Raw genomic sequence first — 24,440 nt, 5'->3', positions numbered from 1 at the left:
CAGAGTTAGACCCTATTTCAAAAAAGAAAGAAAGAAAAAAAAACTGAGTAATTGTGAGGCAGAAAATGGTTTTGTAATTTGATTTCGGTGCTCCCAGAAACACCTCTGGGAAAGGGGTTCACGCATGGGAGAATATCAGCTCTGCTTCCCAGCTAGGAAGGCTGTTTTCTCCCTTTTTCTTTTTTCAAGGAGACCTCTGGACATTTCTGACCTAGGCGCTGCCCTCTTTTAGGTAACTGGAGCACTTATTTCAAAATGGCCTTTTTTTGACACCTCTTCAAAAGCTGCCGGATGACAAGCCGCACCCACTCCCACACCCACAGCTACAGGGCATTGTTCTTGGTCCCAGCCAGCTTGGAAACCTCTCGTCTCAACTTGCATTTAAAAAGGATCTGAGGACAGATTCAGGGAAGAGTTTTTTCTTTTTTTTTTTCGTAGATATGGCCTGAGGCATACAATGTTTTTTTTTTTTGTCATCAACAACTAGTACTTACAATGCAAGCAGATGCCTTTTCTTTGACTGAAAAAGCTTAGTTGGGCAGTATGGCAGTGATGTGGACTGGGAGTCTGCACACACAGTAAACTCATTGATTCAGGCTCAGCTAAATCAAAATTTGATCAGTTTGACCTTTGAAGAAAGGGTTGGGTCTTTTTACTTTTTTTTTTAACCTGTTTTAAAAAAAAAAGGTAATTGAAAGGGTAGTTAAGACCAGAGAAGGCACGTTCAATCTATTTGGCATGCTTCTAAGTACCCAAGGATATTACCAGCATGGGAATAGATGTTGCTTTGTACAAAACAGTCTTATCTGTTCATTAACCAGTTTCCACAAAACCATAAAACTGCCTCTGAAAAATCCTATGAACAGTTATCTCAAATGTGATCATGAAACTAAAAATACTTGAAATAGACTCAGTCTTTACAATGATTTTGTAACAGGCTGTGATGAGATGGAAAAGTTTAGGTTGTGGCTTTGGAATTCTTGGGTTCAAATCTTGGCTTACTCACTAAGAAATATTAGATAAATTGCTTAACCTCTCAGAACCTGAGCTTCCTCCTTATTTGTAAGAAGATTCTTCATTCCAAAGAGTAAATGGAATATTGCTTATAAAAGTGTTACTGATACAGACAGGAGGCAGGGAAATACTGGGTAGAAGAGGGTGGTTACCCGGCAAAGGCTGGAAACCATGGCCCTAAATGAGAACAGTTATCCCTGACCTCCTGCCCAAGTGTTTTCCAAAACCACCCTGGCCCACTACGTCCCCCATTCTGTACCCTTAAAAACCTCAAATGCCAGGCTCCACAAGCAGAAGAGCAGCAGAGCAGCACAGCAGAGACGGCGAGAACAGACAAAGCATCTGAATGTCGAGAGCTCAGCTGGGAGCAGTTGGAGAGGAGGCATCCTGGCGGCAGGATGCCTAAACTCCAGGGGAAGATCATCTTCCCATTCCATCCCCTCCCCAGCTCCCCATCCCACTGAGTGCCACCTCTATCACTCAATAAAATTCCCGCATTCACCATCCTTCAAGTCTGTGTGACCTGATTCTTCCTGGACACTGGACAAGAATTCGGGATGCACTGGATGCAGGAAGCCAAAAAGGCTGTCATACTGACTCTTCACTCAGCTGTTTAACAATTAAGTCATCCCCATATGGCAGGGCTAAAACAGCATTGTAACACCCCTAGACGCTGCTGTGGGGCTGGAGCCCAAAAGCGCTCACCCCAGCTCCTGCACCTGCTCACCTGCAGGCTCCCGCTACCTTAAGGGATTTGAGTATTTGGGGGGGCCGAATAAATGAGCCACACCCCTATTGCACATCCTGCAAAGGGGTCAGGGAACTCTCTCATTTCATTACCGGAAAGGAGTCCTGATCCAGACCCCAAGAGAGGATTCTTGGATCTCACGCAAGAAAGAATTTGAGGTAAGTCCACAGAGCAAAGTGAAAGCAAGTTTATCAGGAAAGTAAAGGAATAAAAGAATGGCTACTCCACAGGGAGAGCAGCCCTGAGGGCTGCTGGTTAACCATTTTTATGGTTATTTCTTGATGATATGCTAAACAAGGGGTGGATTATTCATGCCTCCCTTTAGACCATATAGGGTAACCTCCTGATGTTGCCATGGCATTTGTAAACTGTCATGGCACTGGTGGGAGTGTAGCAGTGAGGACAACCAGAGGTCACTCTTGTCACCATCTTGGTTTTGGTGGGTTTTAACTGGCTTCTTTACTGCAGCCTGTTTTATCAACAAAGTCTGTATGACCTATATCTTGTGCTGACCTCCTATCTCATCCTGTGACTTAGAATGCCTTAACTCTCTGGGAATGCAGCCGAGTAGATCTCAGCCTCATTTTACCCAACTCCTATTCAAAATGGAGTTGCTCTGGTTCAAAAGCCTCTGACAAAAGCATTTTGTAAACTTTAAAGTGCTATATAAATGTACTTTGTTGTAAAAACCCTGTTATTAGATTATAAGACCTTAGAATCTGAATTTCTTGAGTGGAGCCCAGGAATCTGTATTTTTAAACACAATTCCTTAAGTGTTATGCAATTAGGCTTGGGAACCATGTTGGTGTTGTCCCTGGATCAGCACCACCTGCACCACATGGGAACTTATTAAAAATGTACATTCTCAGCCATGCCAGACCTTTGGAATCAGAAACTCTGGGGCAGGGTCCTGCAGTCAACATTTTAACAAGTCTTGCCAGTGATTCTGAGCCAAGCCAATTACTGAGAACTACTGATCTAGAACACAACGTCTCATTCTACAGCATTCATACAAATCACCTGGAGGTCTTGTTAAAATGCCTGGGATGTGGGGCAGGAAAGGGTTAGGAGACTGTGTACTTTTGAAGGAGATTTCAAGTGATGCTAATTTTGTCAAGCACATTTTAAGTAAGGAAGACCTGAAAGACACCAGGCATCCTTCAGAAGATGCGGTTCAGACCCTTCTGGGCCACCTCAGGCCAACATCTGACAAGAGTGCAGAGGGAGAGAATTTCTCACCCTACACTCATCCCCTTGACTTGAGTGTATCTGTTTGAAGGGTTAAAAGGTGTGGATTGGGAAGACAATCAATCGGATGCTGGGGCCCTGTCTGAGCTGCTCATTTATGTGGTTGGGAAAGGAAGTGACAGCAACTCCTGAACCCTGGTATCACAGCGATGGCTTTGTGGAGGGTCATTGTAGGGTAAACGCACCTGTCAGCATTAAGTTTAGCATATCCTCAGAATGACCCTGTATGGCAGATGCACCAGAATGTGTGTTCTGAGCTAGGGAATCTGGGAGTAGCCAACCAGGAGATTCATTCCTTGTCTATGCAGAACATCTGAGTCCCTGGCCCATCCTATGGGACATGGTGGTACAGGGGATTAAGGCCCTGAGTTTTGGGGCTAAATGAACTCTGCTGGGTGAAAGCTGTTAGGGGGAGGGTGTTAAGTGAAAATGCTATACAAACTGCATGAGATTTGGAGGCCATTGCAGTTTTCCTGCCCAGCCCACTGCCACTAGGCCACTCGATTATGTTGTCCGGCCCGATGTCCCCCTGTATGGAAGCCTCTAATAAAACCCCATGTCTCATTTGCTGGCTCTGGGTCTCATCTTCAGCCTCTTGAACTTGGTGCCTTACTCACTGGGGTTAATAGGGGTTTCATACAACTGTCACCCAGCCCTGGAAGAATCTGACTCAGTGTCTTCTCTGGTCTTTTTACCAGGATGTTTCATTTGTTTGTTTTTGAGACAGGGTCTCACTCTGTCACCCAGTCTGGAGTGCAGTGGTACAATCTCAGCTCACTGCAGCCTCAACCTCCTAGGCTCAAGCCATCCTCCCACTTCAGCCTCCCAGTTCAGACTACTGGCTAATTTTTGTATTTTTTGGAGAGACAGGGTTTCACCATGTTGCCCAGGCTAGTCTTGAACTCCTGAGCACAAGCAATCCTCTTGCGTCAGCCTCCGAAAGTGCTGGGATTACAGGTGTGAGCCAACGCAGCCAGCCACAGGATGAGTTTTTGATAGGAAGAAGGGAGAAGAAGAGCTGGTTCAGAATTCCCCCAAAATGATTTTTTTTAACCCCACGACCGATCCCCTCTCATTTCTGTCTTTCCAAAGGGAGCCTACGTCTGGGGAAAATGTGGCCAGAGAAGACTTTGATTTCAGACCCACAAGGGTATTTCCAGCAATAGAAAACACAGACACTATATTCAAATGAAGAAAAGCATTTGGAAGCGCCTCTGCCCCACCCATCCCTGATTCCCAGGCCCCTGTGCCAACCTCAGTGACATGGCCCTTGTCAGAGGACAGGGTGTTGAGAGGTTCTCCTTGAAGGGGAGAAGCATCTTTCTGGGATTTAATGAGATCACTTATTGTCTCTTTGCTCTGACAAAGATAGTAAACGTGACGGGTGAAATATAAAGAATAATTAGTCCCAGAGGTGAATCTGTCCCCTACAAGACATCTTTTCTTCCCCCTCAGCCTGCTGAAAAGTTTACTGCTTCCAGATGTGCCCGATTTCAACAGTAAGAGGAGCCAGTTCCTTTTGAGCTGCAAACTTGTCAGAGAAAAGCTGGTTTCTGAGAAAAGGCTTAAACTGAAGAGATGATTCCTAAAGAAAGCATTGACGTCGGGGAGGAAATACGACCATAGTAAAGCATTGCTGGTCTCTCCTGGGGTCTCAACCCCAAGGAGGAGGTGGAGGAAGGCCTAGGTCAGCCCCCATCATGGTAGCGACTTCTCACTAATTAGCTGTTAAGGAATCCACCAGCCTCTGAAGGAGACATCTGTGAGGAACGCTTTCCTCAGATCCTGCCAGTGCTCCTGCAAAGCCAGCAAGCCCCAGCCCAGCCGGGGACTTCCTGCTTTCCCAGAGCTCAGGACAGGCCTCAGCCACTGTCTGGAGAGGCTGCTGGAGCCCACACATCAGTCTTTGATAAACACTAGCCACTCCCTCTTAGAAACATAAGCTGTTTAGTCTCTGCCAGTTGCCTGGTAGCTAGGAGCGAATCCTAAGAGCTATGTGCCCCCAGGGACTGACTGTATGACCCAGCCTTGTGACTTCAGATGGAAGAAAAGCTAATATCATGCAGGAGAGCACCTTTTTCTCTCATGTCCAATCTCTGAGGCTCTCTGCGTTGAAAAGTACCCCGGAGGTGGGCCTGCCCTGAGGAGAAAAGTAGGTGGGAAGGCATGGCCAGATATTCCACATGTGGGGCTCAGGAGGCTAGGGCAGTGTTGCCCCAAAGCCTGGGATCTCTCCTTGGCAAGAGGGACTAGAATCCTGGTAGGATAAATGCCCGTCTGTGAAGAGGAACTACTGAGAGGGGCCTATAGAGGAAGGTGGGCTTTACACTACCTACCTGCCTGGGTATGAGCAGAGGGAGTGGAGATAGAGGGCTGATGGTGCAGAGGGCAGACCTGACGTACGGGAAGCACAGTCCTGACAGATCCTGCAGGGAGGGCTACAACAGCAACCCCATGTGATTGCAAGAGGATTGGGAGGACGCTGAGTTTATGAAAGCTATTTCTCTCCTCCTTCCCCCCACCCTCACTCATTACACTCTTCTCTCGGTTGTCTCTTTGCTGTGGCTCCTCACACGTCATAGACATGCCCCTGTGTCTTTGTTTGGGCTACCCTAAAAGCAGATCCTGAGCTGGGAGACAAGCAGGGCTGACATCCATTAGGCACAGTGCCGAGGGCCCACAGTGCTTTTGGGGGCCCATGGAAATGTTTTAATTTCTTTGTAGAAACAAAACAATATATAATATTTTTAGATTAAGAAATGCTTTAGTACTGGCTGGGCACGGTGGCTCAAGCCTGTATGGGAAGCCAAGGTGGGTAGATCACTTGAGGCCAGGAGTTCGAGAGCAGCCTGGCCAACATGGTGAAACCCCGTCTCTACAAAAAATACAAAAATTAGCCAGGCATGGTGGCAGGTGCCTGTAATCCCAGCTACTCAGGAGGCTGAGGCAGGAGAATCGCTTGAACCCAGTGGGCAGAGGTTTCAGTGAGCCAAGATCGTGCCACTGCACTCCAGCCTGGGCCACAGAGCAAGACTCCATTTCAAAAAAAAAAATGCTTTACTACATAATATTATTATGTTCATCTTTATACAAATGCAGCCATAAAATATTTTTGTATTTTTTAATTTTTGTTTTTGATGAAGGGCTCATGGCCGCGAAGGCCAAAATGCCTAAAACCCACAAAAGTTACAATGTAGCCCTAGGTACAAGAACTGTGTTAAGTGCTTTATATAGTACACGTTATATAAGTCCTCATAATGGTCCTGTTGTTCCCCTCATGTAACAGGCAAAGAAACTGAGGCTTAGAGAGGTTGAGTCACTTACTCAAGGCCCCATCTAATGGGTTGGGGAGTTGGAATTCCAGCTACCTCTTGCCTGACTCCATAGTTCTTGTTCTTCCCCATGGTCTGCAGAAACCTGAAGGACTTGGCGGCAGGAAAAATTTGGTGGGGAACATGTGTCTTCTCTCTTGCCTGCTCTGATTTCTCAGGAGCAGGACCCAGGAGGGCATCCGAGCCTCTGGCAGCTGAACCTCTGCAAACAGCAGTCACAGTGCATTTCTGCAGGCTCTTGGAGCTGCTCCCTCTGCCTCGGCCAGATGCGAATTTGTGGCTTTTCCTTCTTGGCTCCTTTCCCCAGGTTTTCATTCCTTTTATTCTGGGATGGAGCTGAAATTTTTCCAACAGGGCCCATGGTGGACACCCAGAAGTCAGTAGGGACTCCAAAAGGAAGTTAAGGCCGGGGAAGGGGGCCAGGAAGAGGGAGACCAGCCTAAAGTACACAACACTCAATTCTTCATTACTCACATGTGGCCTGACCGCTGGTGGACTGGCTCCAGGAAAATCTGAACCCTGGGCTGAGCCTCCCCGCCGGCTGGCCAGGACAGACCTGGATGCCCTCCACCCTCCAGCCAAACTTATTTTTTTCATATCATAGCTGCAGAATATTCGGACCCTCTAGTCCCAGCCGCCCAGTGAACTTGAGCTGTGTGACCTTGAGCAAAAGGCAAAATGTTTCTGATTTTCAGTCCCCTCATCTGGAAAAGGAGGAGGCTGTGGGACATGATGATCTTTGAAAGTCTAATAATGAAACAAACAGAAAACCTGTGCTTCTAAGTTGGTGAGTCTGGAAAGGTACGTCTGTTGCTTAGGAAAAAAAGTCCCAAATCCCAAAGAGCCCCTTTTGGCAAGTGTTGTACTTAAGACAATCCGGGCGCTGCCCCTCCTGAGGCGGGGGGGACTCGAGGACCGGCTTTAGCAGAAGTTCCTCCCGCAGAACAACTCGGACGACGACGCCTCGGAGGATCCGGGGAGCTTTGGAGGAGGCGATGGCGGAGCAGGGCGGGTGGCAGCGCAGGCGTGGGAGGGACAGGTGGCCCGTTCGCGTCAAGTCAGGGCGCCCCCTCCTGGGACACCTGTGCCCCGCCTAGTCCCAGGGCCCAGTCCCGGGGCAGACACTGGCCGAGCCCGGAGCCTCTTCGCGTCCCCTCCCACCCAGACCAGGCCGGCGTTTCCCCCGGGCCCCCGCGCGGCTCCGGCCCGCGGAAGTCGCGCGTTCTTTCTTTCCCCCTCGTTAGTCGAGCTGAAACCTGATCGTGGAAAGTCTGGGGCGGGTGTCAGACCCGGCCAGCTCTGGCTCCCAGCGCCTGGGGCGATTCCTGCTGGAGGAACCCGGGCGGGGCCCGCCAAGGGGGCAGGAGGTCGGACACCTCGGGAACAGGCCTCTTTGTCTCTGTGCGGGTGAGGGGCTGGCAAAGCGGGAGAGGGAGTTAATTGCAGGGGCGGGGAGTGGTGGGGGGGCTGGGTAAGCCGAATGACACCTGACAGCTCTGCGAGAGCCCCCCAACCCCCGCCGCTGGGGGGTGGTCCTCCTAATCCCCTTCGCAAGAGGAAGCTAATTGCTGCAGCCAGAGAAGGCAGGATAAAAGCGAGCGGGCACCCACACCCACCAGGCCCGGAGTCTTGCTATTTGCTGCTAAATTAATATATTACCTAATGCAGAAACCACGTTAAGAACTCCAGCTTTCGGCTCCAACAGGAGCTTCTGATGGGTTAAAGGCAACATCTTGCTTTAATTCCCCCCTTTTTCCCATCCTCCCCCCACTCCCCACCACCACCAACTACAAATGTCAGAAATAAATTATTGAAACCAGATGTAAGGTTTTTGGGTGCACATTTTCAGGCAGTTGTGCGCTAACAGATGCCTTGTATTAATAATGTACAGTTGTGACAGGAAATATGGTTTAGAGTCCTGGAAAAACATGAAAGCTAATTCCATTACCCCTTTTCATGGTACCCAGTTCTTCTCAAATGTTCAACTGGTTTGGATTACAGTGAAATTCTAGAGGAAAAACGATTTGGTCTGAGATGGTAACTTGGTTCTGCTTTCCAGCTTCTCCCGTGGAACAGCACCCACCTTCCTAGGCACCTGCAGACCTGTGTTCTATATACGTGCAAATAGCCAGAGATGAGGACATCTGGACCTGGTGCCTCCCCAGGGAAGTGGCTTCCAAATATTCCCCCCTTTCCTGGTCATGAGGACCTGGTAGACAGTAAAAGCAGGGCCAATGATCCCAGCTTCATATTCTTGTCTGGGACAGTCCATTTTAACCTGGCCTACCCACTCACACTTCACTTGGAGCAAAAGTAAAAACAATAAAACACTTTTATGCTCGAGGAACCAGATAAATCCTAGTAATTGATCTCAGGAGAGGGATTATTAAGGGGCTAAGTGCAATGCTTTCCAGAACCGGGGGTGTAATAAGCATGAAGCCAAACAAATGCGCAATTTGTTATCTGTATTTCATCACTTAATGCATTGCAAGCAACGGGTTTGAAAATGGCTTTTCTCCAGGAGGGGAGAAGGCACTAAAATAGCTGTAACACATCCATTGACAGTTCTGTTGCTGAAAAATGTCATCATTCTCCATGGCTCACACTGTCAGCCGTGCTCAGAAGGGTCAGAATATTCCCACTCTGCCATTTTTGGGGACAGATTCCCCTCCACTTTAGCCAATGTACAATGCTAAAAGAGACAACTCTCAAGGTCTTTCCCGCTGTAACCCTACACTTACGAAGAAATAACAAAGTAACCAGCAAGGATATCGAACTGCCCTGGACCCATAGATAAGAAAGGCTTTCCCTGTCCTAGACAAGAGTGAAGAAGGAAAGATATCAAAGATATCTACCGGTTCAGTTGGGTGAGACCTAAGAATTACAGCATCCAAAATAATAGCTAATCTTTATCAAGATCCTACTATCCTATCTGCTCTTACACCTGTGGCATCTAATCTTAACAATACCTGAGAAGGCAGGTGCCGTGCAATTATATCCTTGGTTATAGATGAGGAAACTGGGTTTTAGGGATGCTGGGTAATCTGCTGAAGGTTGCAGAGTTACTGGCAGAGCCAGCACTCACAATTTAATCTATTTAATTTTAAAGACTTTTAACAACCTCAACTATCATTTATTCTAATAGGTAAGGAAAGTATGCTATGAATTATGGGTAAATCCACACTGTGTCATTCTCTTAACGAAACTTTTTTTTTTTTTCAGGCTTGGTGTACAGTTGATGTCTAGAATATATTAACAGAAGGCTGCCCTGTAGAAGTTTTGAGTTAATGGTTTCCATCAACGCAGGAGTGGAAGAAGCTACTGGGGATCAGGAATCAGAAGTCCTGGCTTTAAGCCCTAGCTTTAGCCCTCACTGGTAATAAAATCAAAGCAATTGGTCTCTTTGACTTCAGTTTCTCCACTTTTAAGGTTGACCTGATAATACTTGCCCTGCTTGTGAAGAGCATGTGAAATAATAGCTATTCAAATTTTTACAAAGCACCAAGCAAATAGCTGTGTGACCTTGGGCATGTTCTTTTACTTTTCTGATCCTTATTTATCTTAACTGTGGGATTGAATGAAAGAGCATCCAACTTCACCTCCTGCTCTGAAACTGTACATTTCAAAGATGGGTGTTATGGCATAGTTTGTTGGAGCAAAAGCCAGGAAACAGAGGGTTGCCTCCCAAGAGGGAAAAGCTGAACACATTATTACACGTCCACACCATGGCATAGTATGTAACCAATGAACATGGAAAATCAGAGTATGCCAGATAGCTTGGAGGAGTTTCTATGAGGTGGTGTTGAGATGAGGAGAGAAAAGATGTATAAATGATCCCACATTGTAAAACAATAAACAGCATTCCCCTGGGTATGTGTATAGGTATATATTCTATACAGAATTACATAAAAAAAAAGTATACTCCATATTCAAGGTGTTATGGTGGGAAGAAAATGGGGCGAGGGCTGACCATAGAAAAGGAAATGGGGAGAAAAGACTGCATTCAAAAATAATAAGACAACATGTATTTGCTCAATGCATGTGTTTGTGTAAAGATCTATATTGTGAATACGTGCTACTTTTTTTTTTAACAGGAATTACAGGAATTACACCCCCCAGAAGTTCTATTTTTTTAAATATGAACCAGGCATTTTTATTAAAAATAACTAAATTTTTTTCGTTTAGACCTGTATCTTGGTGCAAGAGAGTACTCACATACATAAGAATCGACCTGCTGCTATGCCCCTCACCTGTTGACTGTATGTCAATGAGAAGTTCCCCCGTGTAGGCTGGGCCCAGTGGCTCATGCCTGTAATCCCAGCACTTTGGGATGCCAAAGTGGGAGAATCGCTTGAGGCCAGGAGTTTGAGACCAGCCTAGGCAACATAGTGAGACATTGTCTCTATAAAAAATGAACAAAATTAGCTGGGCATGGTGGTGCATGCCTGTAATCCCAGTACTCAGGAGGCTGAGGCAGGAGGATCACTTGAGCCCTGAAGGTGGAGGCTGCAGTGAGCCATGATCGCACCACTGCACTCTAGCCTGGGTGACAGAGTGAGACCCTGTCTCCAAAAAAAAAAAAGTTTTCCTACGTAGAAAGTTCCCTAACATAGCATGTTCCTTAACATAGTTTGAATATTCCCTGTCCTTTAGTCATGTTTACACTGAATATTTGCATAGGAAACCCTTTGTCATATAAAGAAAATCTTCCCAGCACCTACCTAAGTGCTTCGTTTATATTCAACAAATACCTGTTTGCAGACACGGACCTAGAGGCTGGTGATGCAGCAGTGGGTACAACAAAGCCTCTGTCCTGATGGAGTTGACCTTTTAGTGGGGGAAGTTGATGATAAAAATACATCAGTAAAATATAAAAACAGTGGATGACACAGAGTGAGTAAAATAAAGCAAAGAAAGGGGAGTGAGAGAGGAGGCACCAGGCACCATGTTAAAGGGGATCTTCCTCAGGGAAGACCTCTGAGGAGGTGATAATTGGAAAGAGACCTGCATGAGGTGGAATAGTGAGTGAAGCGCAGCCCAGTTAGTAGGAACAACCAGGGAAGGGTCCAGGAGGAGGGAATGAGCTTGGCATGTTTCAGAAGCAGACATGATCTCACTGGTCTCATCCCCACCCCAGCCACCAACCTGGTCCAAGCCACCACTGTCTCTTACCTGCTCCCCTGCTATAGCTCTAACCAGTCTCTCCATTTTTATTTCTTCATTTCTGTGGTCGATTTTCTACACAAGTAGCCTGAGTCACCTTTAAAAATGCAAATGTGATCATGTGTTAGAACACTTGCAGTTTGTACCTCCAAGAGCTTCCCATCACTCAGAACAACATCAACTGTCTTCACCTTCCTTGACAAGATCCTCATGATCTGTGCCAAACACCTCTCTGACCTCAGCTCCTGCCTGTTCTGGCTCACTGCTCACTGGCCTCCTTGCTCTTCCTTGAACAGGCCATGTACACACCTGCCTAGGCTGCTGCCTGGGCTGTCCCTATGCCGAGAGTTCCGGTAAATGGACCGTGATTCCTCCAATTGCTCTAGCAGTAGATTTAGGAGTCATTCTTGATTCCTTTTTTTTTTTTCTCACACTCCATAGCCTATCCATTGGCAGGTCTTGACTGGTTTCCATTCTAAGGAGATCCCAAATCAGACTACTTCTTATCACTTCCACCAAAGACCCTTAATCCAAGCCACCACCATCTCTCACCTGCCCACCTGGATTACTGTAGCCACCTTGCTTGCCATCTTGCACCCCATAGCCTATCCTTCACACATTAGCCAGAAGGATCTTTTTTTATTTTTTAGAGACAGAGTCTTGCTGTGTCACTCAGGCTGGATGGAGGGCAGTGGTGCAATCATAGCTCACTATAACCTTGAACCACTGTGCTCAAGCTATCCTCCTACCTCAGCCTCTTGAGTAGCTAGGACTACAGGCACAGGCCAACATGCCTAGTTAATTTTTTTAAAAAAAATTTGTAGAGATGGGGGTCTTACTATGTTGCTCAGGCTGGTCTCAAATGCCTGGCCTCAAGGAATCCTCCTGCCCCAGCCTCCCAAAATGCTGGGATTACAGACATGAGCCACTGAGCTTGGCCCAGAAAATATCTTTTTTTTTTTTTTTTTTTTGAGATGAAGTCTCGCTCTTGTCTCCCAGGCTGAAGTGCAAGGGCACAATCTTGGCTTACTGCAACCTTTGCCTCCCGGGTTCAAGCGATTCTCCTGCCTCAGCCTCCCAAGTAGCTGGGATTACAGGCACCTGCCACCATGCCCAGCTAATTTTTGTATTTTTAGTAGAAACGGGGTTTCACCATGTTGGCCAGGCCGCTGTAGATATCCTGATCTCATGATCCACCTGCCTTGGCTTCCCAAAGTGCTGAGATTACAGGTGTGAGCCACCGTGCCCAGCCCAGAAAATCTTTTAAAAAGATATATTCAACATTCAAATAATATTGATCGAGCCCAGCTGTGTGCAAGAGTCTATTTTTAGTTGCTGGAGATACAGCAGTGAACAAAATAGAAAAGGTCCTTGCCCTCATGGAAACAAATGTTTGGGGAAGAAAATGAAGAGTTATGTTTTTGTTTTAAAGAGGTTAAAATAAACACTCAATATATTAGGTTGGTGCAAAAGTAATTGCAGTTTTTCCCATTACTTTTTTTTTTTTTTTTTTTTGAGACAGAGTCTCATTGTCACCCAGGCTGGAGTGCAGTGGTGTGACCTTGGTTCACTGCAACCTCTGCCTCCCGGGTTCAAGCAATTCTTCCTGCCTCAGCCTCCCGAGTAGCTGGGATTACAGGCATCAACAACCACACCACCACCGGCTAATTTTTGTATTTTTTAGTAGAGATGGGGTTTCACCATGTTGGCCAGGCTGGTCTTGAACTCCTGACCTCAGGTGATCCGCCCGCCTCAGCCTCCCAAAGTCATGGGATTACAGGCATGATCCGCTGCACCCGGCCTGCCATTACTTTTAATGACAAAAACCGCAATTACATTTGTACCAACCTAATAATTGGTCAATAAGGGTGCCACTGGCAAATTCGTCATTTAGGATGCTGTATTTTTCCCAGAGTTGGAATGCTCTGTGCCGAGCTGGTGATAGATTCCTTGATATCACATTCCAAACCACAGTATGTGTGTTGTACCTCAGTTCTAGTTTAGAATAACATTTCTAGATATTTTTTAAATGAAAAATGTAATTTTTTGCTAATGCATATGAAACAAACACTCCACTTGGGGAAGATGCTCAGGAAACAAGCATTTCAATGAAACACATAGGCAGTGATATTTATCTACTGACTTATGTCAGCTCCAAAAAGAATTTAAGGGGAACAGCTCTACAGAATTGGGTAATTTTAACTGTCATCAATCACAATTTAATCTAAATTTGGTCTTATTCCCAAACTTTGATTAAGATGCTTCTTCCAAGCTGCCTTTAATTTTCCTTTGGATGTTTGCTCTAAACACCTGGAGAGCATGGTTATGGTTTATTCTTTATTTGGCCACAGTGCCTAGTATCGTTCCTGGTAGAAAATAAAGGTTTGTTGAATGACTAAATGAATGAAATTTCCTAGGACAAGCTTTAAATCTAAGCCCTCTGACCAACTTGTAATACAAATAGGCATAAAAAATACCTTTCTAGCTTTTCATGGGCATTTCAGCAAGAACAGTACTATGACTGTCCCCTTTCCATAGCCAAATGCTAGAATTTTTCTCCATGGCTCTCAGCTGTTTGTACTTCCAAACCCCCAACCCCCCCCCCCCTCCACGTTTTAAAAGCGTTCAGGTATAGGAAACAGAACCCATTATACCAATTTTAAACAAAAAGATTATGTAGTATCAGGAATTAGACGCCTGAAAGATTATTGCCAGGGCTGAAGCAGCCGACCCCAGACTGTGCCTCCTAGAACAACTTTCAGAACAGTACACCAGAACTGGCCCAATAGGGGAGCTGCTACCAAGGTGGGTAAATCTGAAGCTGATGAATTAAAAATCCATGTGGCCATAGCCATAGCTGGATTCAGGCATCTGCTACCACCACCAACACTGCCACCACATCATTGCCCCTGACAACTACAAGGCTGGTGACAGAGCACTGGAAGTCTGCTATTGAGAAACATAACGTCTGTACAGCCATGCTTGCTGCTGGTTCCAGGGATGGCTCTGAGCAAGACCCTGAGGTAGGACAAGCTTAGCTGCTTGGTTCTCCAGTAGATACTTAATAGTCAAAGCTGCAGGAAGAGAGCCTTTGTCTCACTTGAGTCAGGCACATCTAATTGGGAGAATCTAATTCTCTTCTAGAAACCTAGCTGCAAGGTAGTCTGAGAAATGAAGAGTTTAGTTTACCAGCCTCTGTAAATCAAACAGGAAATTCTACCTGGGAAGGCGGACTAGATGCTGAGTGCCAATTGACCGTAACCACTGCAATCCTTTCATCCATTTGGCAGGATAATGACAATACAGCTGACATGTAGCATGGACTACATACTGGTGTGAAGAAGGAAGAACTCTCTGTGACATCCCTAGTACAACAGCATTAAATTTTCCCATGAACAATTAACTACCCACTTTAACAGGAGGAGGAATTACAACTCAATTAACATGTGATCACACATCATCCTTGCTGAAGCTGCCAGAGGGAGCAAGGGACAGAGAGACATTTTCAGTAGAAAAAAGGAAGGATGAGAGAGGAAGAATTTTCCATTTTAAATAAGCATCTTTTACTCCAGATTGCCTTCTCTGTGACCATACTGAATATCTGTCAGTTGGTCAATGTGCCTAATGGGGAAGAGAGACACAGTTGTCCCCAGGCTGAGAGGAGAGACCCAGTTCCAACTTGTAGGGCTCTCTGGGGTCTGGCTTGGTAAGTTGCTTTCTGCTATTATGTGGTTCTCAGTAAGCAGAAAGCTTGACAAAGGAAAAAATAAAAAATAAGAGAGAGCCCAAGGATAGGAATTGGAGGATTCTGAGGGAATCACTGGGGAGAACACCATTTAAAACAACCATGGAATTCTGTGTGTTTGGGAGCGAGGGAGAGAGAGCAGAACCCCAACAAAAGTTGTGCCGTTTCTTGAGAGACAGAGATGCAGGAGTCCCCCAAAACTGCTCAGCCTGTCTCCACCACCCAGCAGCTGCCACTGGTCATAGATAGCCTGGCCGTCATACTCTTCAGTGACCTCAAGGACTTTTCTTTCTTCCTCTCTTCCCTCCCTCCCACCCTCCCATCCGTCCTTCCTTCCTTCCTTCCTTTATTCCTTCCTTCCTTCCTTCCTTCCTTCCTTCCTTCCTTCCTTCTCTCTTTCTTCTTTTGTTGTTTCTGAGGCAGGGTCACTCAGGCTGGAGTGCAGCGGTGTGATTACAGCTCACCATAGCTCCAAACTGCTGGGCTCAGGGGATCCTCCCAACCTCAGCCTCCTGAGTAGCTGGGACTACAGGCGTGCCCACCATGCCAGGCTAGTTTTTAACTTTATTGTGGAAACATGGTGTTATTATGTTGCACAGGCTGCTCTCAAACTCCTGGCCTCTAGCAATTCACCTGCCTCGTTCACGGACTTTTCTGATCTTGCTTGTCTCTGTTTAGGGTTTCTGGAGTCAGAACTGCTGTCAGGATGAGTGGGAAGGGCATCCCCTCACCTGTCTGTGCCTCAGATTCCTCATCTTCAAAATGGAGGGAATAAAACTACTTACCTTGAAGGGCTGGTGAAAGGTTAAAATGAGATGTAATTAGTTTAGACATTACATTCATACATAATTAGTTTAGAATAGAAACTGGCATGTGTTAAGTGTTAAAATAAATATTGGCAGCTTTTGTTGCTTTATCTCTATGAATCCTTTGCAGAAGTTAGAGATCACGGATTATCTAGAGGTAGGCCATGGTGGAGAATTGAGAATGAGATGTGGAGTGGTGATTGGATGAGGAAGTCATATAAGCTGCAGGAAGGGCGAGTGACTGAGGAAGCTTTTGTGGAGTCCTAATTAGAGAAACAGAGTTAGGCTGGCAGGACCAAGGGAAAGCAAAGAGAGAAAGCAGATAAACGGCCGGGTGTGGTGGCTCACGCCTGTAATTCCAGCACTTCAGGAAGCCGAGGCAGATGGATCACCTGAGGTCAGGAGTTCGAGACCAGCCTGACCAATATGGTGAACCCTGTCTCTACTAAAAATACAAAAATCAGCCAGGCGTCATGGTGTGTGCCTGTAATCCCAGCTACTCAGGAGGCTGAGACAGGAGAATTGCTTGAACCTGGGAGGCAGAGGTTGCAGTGAGCTGAGATCATGCCACTACACTCCAGCCTGGGCAACAGAGCAAGGCTCCATCTCAAAGAAAAAAAAAAGAAAAAAAAAGAAAGCAGATAAACTACAAGTCTTCCTTTCTTCATGGTCCAGGACACATAGCCCTCCTGCACAAATAACTCACAATCTTCCTGCATCCAACTATCACCAGACACCTGCAAGCTATTATAGCTCACTGCAACCTTGGTGTTATCAGAACTGCACAAAGCCCTCTTCAACAGACAGCATAAACACTCTTCTATAGAATCTCCAGCAAGCCTGTTTCCTGGCGGTTAGCTTCTCTTCTGCTGGCTGCCCATTGCCTCCTTGCAACGTATTTTCCTACTTTCTCTAATAAATCTGCCTTTTGTTTTTGTCTACAACTGTCTTGGTAAATTATTTTACCCCTGCACCGCTGGCCCAGGTACTCCCTGCTCACCTGCAACAGCTTTGGCAATGTATCATGATAGCAAAATGTCAGAGGTTGGCTGGCAAAATGAAATGGAGCCCAGAAGAGAATAAGAGTAACTAGGAGTAAGAAGAAGTGTGACTGAGATCAACATGGGTTAGGGTACAGATTTAGCTACTATACCAAAGGCCAAAATAATGGTGTCTCTAACAAAGCATATTTCTCTTACATAAAAGAATGAGTAGATGGTTCAGGGTTGGTATGGTGGTTCTGTAGTGTTGGAGATCTAGGCTTCTTCTATCTTGTAGGACAGACAGGTTTCTTCTACCTTGTTGCCATGCCATTCTCAGCATGTGGCTTCACCTCCCAGTCTACTCCAGCTCCTGCCATAACTCCTACCTTCCAGCTCATGGGAAGGGAAGAAAGGTGAGAGTGGACACATTCTTTTGCTAAAGGAATGACCTAGAAAGTACACGTACCACTTCTGCTCACATCTCACTGGCCAAGACTTAGTTATGTGTCCATCTTGTGCTGCAAAAGAGGCTGGAAATGTGGTCTTTAGCTGGGTAGTCATGTGCCCAGGGAAAGGAATGGAGGGAAAGGGAAGGAAAAATGACTATGGGGAGTGGGCAATGAATTGTGTCTGCTATAGGACTAATACATATTTTGGGATCGTAATGGAATTTTTATTCCTAATGATTTCTGAAAACGTCTGATAAAGTTGCACCATCTTGTTTTTGACCAACATTCAAAAAAACCAAACTACATAAAGAATTGGAAGCTGGAACTTTCCTACAATGACCCCACTACTACCTGAGGACCAAAGCCTTATCAATGCTGATGACCAAAAAAGACTTGAATTGTCCAATTCCTCCCTAGGAAAATATTTTGGAGACAAATTAAGATGAATTAAGTCAAATGACTATTAAAAAAAACTTTCTTCCTCTTGATTAATGATTCCATCCATTGCCATTGAGACTTATTAAGCAGCTTTCCTTTTCTGAGGGAAGATATTAAAGGACAGAACGTGCCAAGCTTTTAAAGTTTGACAAAAATACTCACTTAAATTATTATTAGATTCTGAGATATGCTCTGAAGGTGATGAAGGAGCTTTTTGGAATAGAGCCAAATGCTAATGCTGATTTCCACAGCTGAGCAAGGTCTGTGCAAGCACCCCAGGATCACTCCCTGCTCTCTCTCCTGCTGTTTAATGCCTAAAACATAGGTTTACATATGTTGAAATGTTTATATTTGTCCCAAGGCTTTTCTGGAGGGAACTGGGTATAAATAAACCACACAATGGATCCCTTCCTCACTAGAAACTAAAAATTAGGTCATCTCCTTTGTCTTTCCCCACTCCTCTCCTGATAGGAATGTAGATTTTTAAACAAACATATCAAAAGTATGCTGTGAAGAGGGATCAGTGTTAGTAACAGCGGGCTTTTTTGTCTTATAATTGCCCTGCTATAAAAACTGAGAAAGGAGATGGAGAAAAGAAAAGGGAAAAGAGAGGAGAAAGGAGAGAGAGGTACTAGGTTCTTATTCTTTGAGTCTTTTTGGTGCCATAGATGACTTTGACAAACTAGTAAAGCCTATGGACCCCTTCTCTGAATAGTGTCTTTAAATACATAAGATAAAATGTATAGGATTACCTAGGAAACCAATTATATTGAGACAGAGCTCCACTTATGGATTCTTTAGGAGGTCTGTGGACTGCAGATGAGCTCTCTGGGTTGTCTCCCCTGCCTACATCATCAACTCCCTTAAATCAAGCATAAGTTCCAACAGTTTAGGCTGCCTTAGTTTGACAAATACAATTCCTCACATGAAGCTGCTACATTGCATGCCCAAACTCTTTCTCAGACACATGGTCATTTGTGTTCCATGGACATGGAACTAGCATTTGAAGGCTGTTACTATAAAGCTCAAATGCACAAGCCTCTTTACTGCAGGTTAAATTGGCCCCACAGTGATAGATCTCCACAGGCTCTGCCTGGATGCCACTTGCTTTCCTGTAGCACTGAGCAGAGACATGATACTGGGATTCAGTCCTTAAAAGTAAAAACCTTATAATAAATATGTAAGTTCCTCTTGATGAAATATGTAGTAAGCAAAGGCTGCTTTTGTTACAGTCTCAGCAATGTACCACAATGTAGCAGTCTCTCATTGTGAGGTATCACCCCAAGTTCTTTGTCTCACAACCAAGAGAATTAAGGAGCATGAACACAAAGGATGAAGTTGGAGTGAAAGTTTAATAAGCGAAAGAAGAAAGCTCTCCACAGCAGAGAGGGGTCCCGAATGGGTTGCCATTTTTATAGTTGAATATAAAGCCTTTTATAAGAAACTGATAAGGGCTAGGCCTCTCATGTACATAAGGCACAAATTTCTGGTAGCTCCACCTCATTCTCCTAATGCGCATGGGAGCCCTTAGCTTGAGTTACTCCATATTGTTTTGTTCCCCTTACGCATATGTGTTAAAGGACGGAATTTTCCATTGCAAGCACATCTGGGCAAGTCACCTGTGCAGTTGTTCTTATCTGTGCAGCTGTGGGAATGTCTTAGGCACGACCCCCTGTGCAAATTTCCTCATCTTTGCCTGCAGCTTGATTTTTCAGGCTGTTCTTTTGTTTGAAAGAATTTAACTGAGGACCCACCCTAACTGCCTGCCTGACTGGTTTCTTCCTTTCTCCTCTCACATTCTCATAGTAGCAGAAGCTCCTAGCCTTTAAAAGAGGGCTTTGTCTTGGGCAAAGGAGAGACAGGATGATGGGGAAATGCGGGGAGGGAGTCACCAACTCACACCTTAATTAATTCTGCCTCCACCGTGGATCTGGGCTGAGGGACCTAAAGGCAGATATCATCTCCGTGTTGGTCCTTGGGTGCTTCCTCACACGGACAAGTTCAGAGTAGGAAAGATGATACCCAGGCAGGTCCCCAAGACTCCTGTCATCCCCCCTTCTCACCAAGCCTCATTTATATCTAACATGTGTCTTCAAGAATCCCCAGGTGGGGAATGACTCTTCCCCAGGTTGCCTTACTGAGACCTGAGAAATAAAAAATAAAATTCCAAGGCCCTAGCTGACTGAAGTGATCCCCTCTTGGCCAAGGGGACCCCAGAGAAACCTTGGAAGCTAAGTCCTGGCCATGATGCTATAGAAGGTTGGACATACCTCATTACATCTGCTCCCTTGATAACTGCCATTAGGCTTTCTTCCCTAAGGGCTACACAGAAACCAGCTCTTTCGAAAGACTCCACGCTGATAATGTCAATGACTAACTTATCTTCCCAGGTATAGAACAAAGACGAGATGAGATTAGTCGCTTCTTCACCCTTCTCTGAGACATCTGCTTCCTCTATTCCTCTTCTCTTCAAATGTTCACCTTTTATTATGTAAAATGTAGATTTCCTGGGCACTAACTAAAGTCTGACAAATATGTAGTAATTCCTCTCACTGCTCCCATTCCTTTTTTAAGGAAAATGTATAAATATCAAACCTCCTGAGAACCTCTTTGGAAAAAAAGAGCTGCAGATGTGTCTGTGACTCTCATTTTTCCTGGGCGCACCCTCAAGCTGGCTTAATAAACCTTGATGATTTGAAACTTATGCTTCAGTCACTAATTTTGGTTGTCAGGCTCCCACATCTAAAGGGAGCCATTTTACTGGTTCAAAGACTCAACCAACGCCAGTCTTATGCACTCAGCCCTTCCCCTACCCATTATGATGAACTCTGGTCAGCAAAGAGCCATCTATAAATTCCATCCAAAGACACAAGGCCCCCTTGGGACTGCCAATCACAACAGGGTTACTTCTATTGTTTCCACTATGGGTGGAACCAAAATAATTCCTTAGCTAGTGAAACCCTGTGTCAGGTTCTATAAGTACCATCAGAGTGTACTTACCAACGTTTGGTTATGGCCCACAAGGTGTTTGGGCCATTTCCCTAAGGAAAATCCTTTGTTTCCTTACCTCCCTCTAGGAAAAGTACTCAGTGGGCCCTCGTCCCACAGAGAGAGGGGAGAGCACTTATCCTGTGTTACAGGAAAGGGGTCCTGATCTAGACCCCAAGAGAGCATTCTTGGATCTTGTGCAAGAAACAATTCGAGGCAAATCCATAGAGTAAAGTGAAAGCAAGTTGATTAGGAAAATAAAGGAATAAAGAATGGCTACTCCATAGGCAGAGAAGCCCTGAGAGCTGCTGGTTGGCTATTTTTATGGTTATTTCTTGATTATATGCTAAACAAGGGGTGGATTATTCATGAGTTTTCAGGGAAAGGGGTAGGCAAATCCCAAAACTGAAGGTTTCTACCCTTTTTAGACCATATAGGGTAACTTCCTGATGTTGCCATGGCATTTGTAAACTGTTATGGTGCTGGGAGGAGTGTCTTTTAGCATTAAAATGCATTATAATTAGCGTATAATGAGCAATGAGGACAACCAGAGGTCACTTTTATTGCCCTCTTGGTTTTGGTGGGTTTTGCCTGGATTCTTTACCGCAGCCTGTTTTAGCAGCAAAGTCTTTGTGACCTGTATTTTTTTTTTTTGACCCGCCCACCTCAGTCTCTCAAAGTGCTGGGATTACAGGTGTGAGCCACCACACCCAGCCAAGATTCTTTCTCAAGATTGTTATAGCTATTCTGGGTCCTCTGCAAATCCTTATGAATTTGAGAATTCGCTTGTCAATTTCTACAAAGAAACAATTGTTCATATACAATAGATTATCATTTTTCTTACCAGATATTTGTAGATTTTCTTTAATAGATATTTCTTCATTTGCTGTATGCCCTTAGGCATGTTTCCAGAGCCTTTAAGTGTTTGGGGTTTTAAAAAAGTGATTTTCATCATTTTCACTGGAGCTTCCCAAATCATCATACCGGAAATCAATCTCTTCAACAAAGGATCACACACACACACACACACACACACACACACACACACACACACACACACGAACTCCAACTCAATAGCAAAGGGAAAAACAACTCCATGTTGATGATGACAAGGAACAACCAGATATCTCATACATTGCTGATAAAAGTGAAAATAGAATAAGCACTTTGGAAAACTGTTTGGCAGTTTCTTACAAAGTTAAATGTTTCACCTATTCTATCACTCAGCAATTAGACTCCTAGGTATTTAGGCAAGAGAAATTAGAGTTACAGCCACAAAAAGACTGGTATAATAATGCTCACAGTGACTTTATTCCTAATAGTCTGGAAATAACATAAATGTTCATCAATTTAAAAATGCATGGCTGGGCGCAAGGTGGTGCACACCAGTAATCCCAGCACTTTGGGTGGCTGAGGCGGGTGGATCACCTGAAGTCAGGAGTTCAAGACCAGCCTGGCCTACATGGTGAAACCCCATCTCTACTAATGATACAAAAATTATCCGGATGTGGTGGTGCATACCTGTAATCCCAGGTACTTGGGAGGCTGAGGCAGGAGAATTGCTTGAACCTGGGAGGCAAAGGTTGCAGTGAGCTGAGATCAGACCATTGCACTCCAGCCTGGATGACAAGAGTGAAACTCCATCTCCAAAAAATAAAAAAAATTAAAAAAATTAATGCATAAGAAGAAAACATAATGTATGCATCCAATAGAATACTACTCAACAATAAACAGGAATGAACTACTAATACATGCAGCAACATGGGCTTTGAAGTCAGGCAATCAAATTGCTCTGTGACCATGGGCCAATTACTTGGCCTCTCAGTGTCTTTTCTGTTATCTTTTCTGTAAATGGGATTGTTGTGGGTTGACTCGTATCCCCCAGAAATTTATGTGTTGCGGCCCTGTCCCCCAGTACCTTAGAATGGCACCATTTGGAGACAGGGTCTTTAAAAGGGTCATTTAAAATGAGATCATATGGGTAGGCCCTAATGCAACATGACAGGTGTCCTTATAACAAAAGGAGATAAGGACACAGACACTGTCTCAGTCCGTTTGGGCTGCTATAACAAAATACCACAAGGCTAGGTGGCTTATCGAGATCAAATATTTATTTCTCACAGTTCTGGAGGGTAGGAAGTCCATGATCAAGTCTCCAGAAAATTCAGTGTCTGGTGAGGTCCCTTTCACCATAGATGGCACCTTCTTGCTGTGTCTTCATATGGTGGAAGGGATGGGGTTTCTTGTATAAGGGAACTAATTCCATTCACGAGGGCTCTGCCCTCGTGACTTAATCACCTCCTAAAAGCCCTACATCCTAATACCATCACACTGGGGATTAGGATAGGAACATGAATTTTGGGGAAACACAAACATTCAGACCATAGCAGACACAGAGAGAGAAAACCATATGAAGATACAAAGAGGAAAAGGCCATCCACAAGCCAAGAAGAGAAACCTCAGGAGAATCCAACCCTGCTGACACCATTAATTAATTAATTAATTAATTTATATTTATTGAGACAGGGTCTCACTCCATCAGATCACTGCAACGTCTGCCTCCCAGGATCAAGTGATCCTCCTGCCTCAGCCTCCCAAGTAGCTGGAACTACAGGCGTGTGCAACCACACTGGCCTAATTTTTGTATTTTTAGGAGAGATGGGTTTTCACCATGTTTGCCAGGCTGGTCTTGAACTCCTGGGCTTAAGTGAATTCACCCACCTCAGCCTTTCAAAGTGCTGGAATTACAGGCATGAGCCACTGCACCCAGCCTTGTTTAGTTAGTTATTTTAAGATGGAGTTTCACTCTGTTGCCCAGGCTGGAATACAGTGGTGTGATCGTAGCTCACTGTGGCCTCAAACTCCTGGGCTCAAGTGATCCTCCCACCTCAGCCTCCCAAGTAGCTGGGACTACAGGTGCAGACCACCACACCCAGACAATTTTTAAAATGTTTTTGTAGAGGCAGGGTCTCACTTTGCTGCCCAGGCTCGTCTCGAATTCCTGGGCTCAAATGATTTCCCCACCTTCGCCTCCCAAAGTGCTGGAATTACAGGTATGAGCCACCACGCCTGGCTCCTACTGACAACTTGTTCTCAAGCTTCTAGCCTCCAGAATTGTGAGAAAATACATTTCTGTTGTTTAATCCACCCAGTTTGTGGTACTCTGTTATGGTAGCCCTAACAAACTAATACAGGGACCAAAATTCCTATGGACGAAACTGTGGGAAGGGTGACCTGAGAAAACATGAAAATCACTGATCATAGGGCTTAGAACATCGTGAATGCCCAGCAGGACTATTCCTTTTGGAGATGTAAACCACCAGGCAATGTGTAAAAGAGGCCTGTGGTGTGTGTAAATACATGTAAAGCTGGGGAACACTATGTGCATGTGTGTATGAGCATGTGTGTGTGTCCACATGTATATGTAGTTTTGCACGAACAAATGGAATATGTCAGTCACCTTCATATATCTCACAGTGAAGCCTGGAGCAGAAGGTGAGCTTTCTGAGGGCAGGACCCCTGCCTG

The 24,440-nt window shown here is 45.1% G+C and overlaps 1 long non-coding RNA gene across 1 annotated transcript; it reads left to right on the top strand.

The window, feature by feature from the left end:
• The first annotated feature begins 6,937 nt into the window (after positions 1–6,937).
• On the top strand, positions 6,938–9,749 carry LINC02602 (long intergenic non-protein coding RNA 2602). The gene is made up of 2 exons (NR_183451.1): positions 6,938–7,143; positions 9,565–9,749. It is a non-coding gene; the product is annotated as a long intergenic non-protein coding RNA 2602 (long non-coding RNA).
• Positions 9,750–24,440: the final 14,691 nt, after the last annotated feature.

The sequence above is a fragment of the Homo sapiens genome, chromosome 1, assembly GCF_000001405.40.
Source record: "Homo sapiens chromosome 1, GRCh38.p14 Primary Assembly".
NCBI lineage: Eukaryota > Metazoa > Chordata > Mammalia > Primates > Hominidae > Homo > Homo sapiens.
Note: the sequence above shows the minus strand (reverse complement) of the source record. Positions and strands in the feature narration are given on the sequence as shown.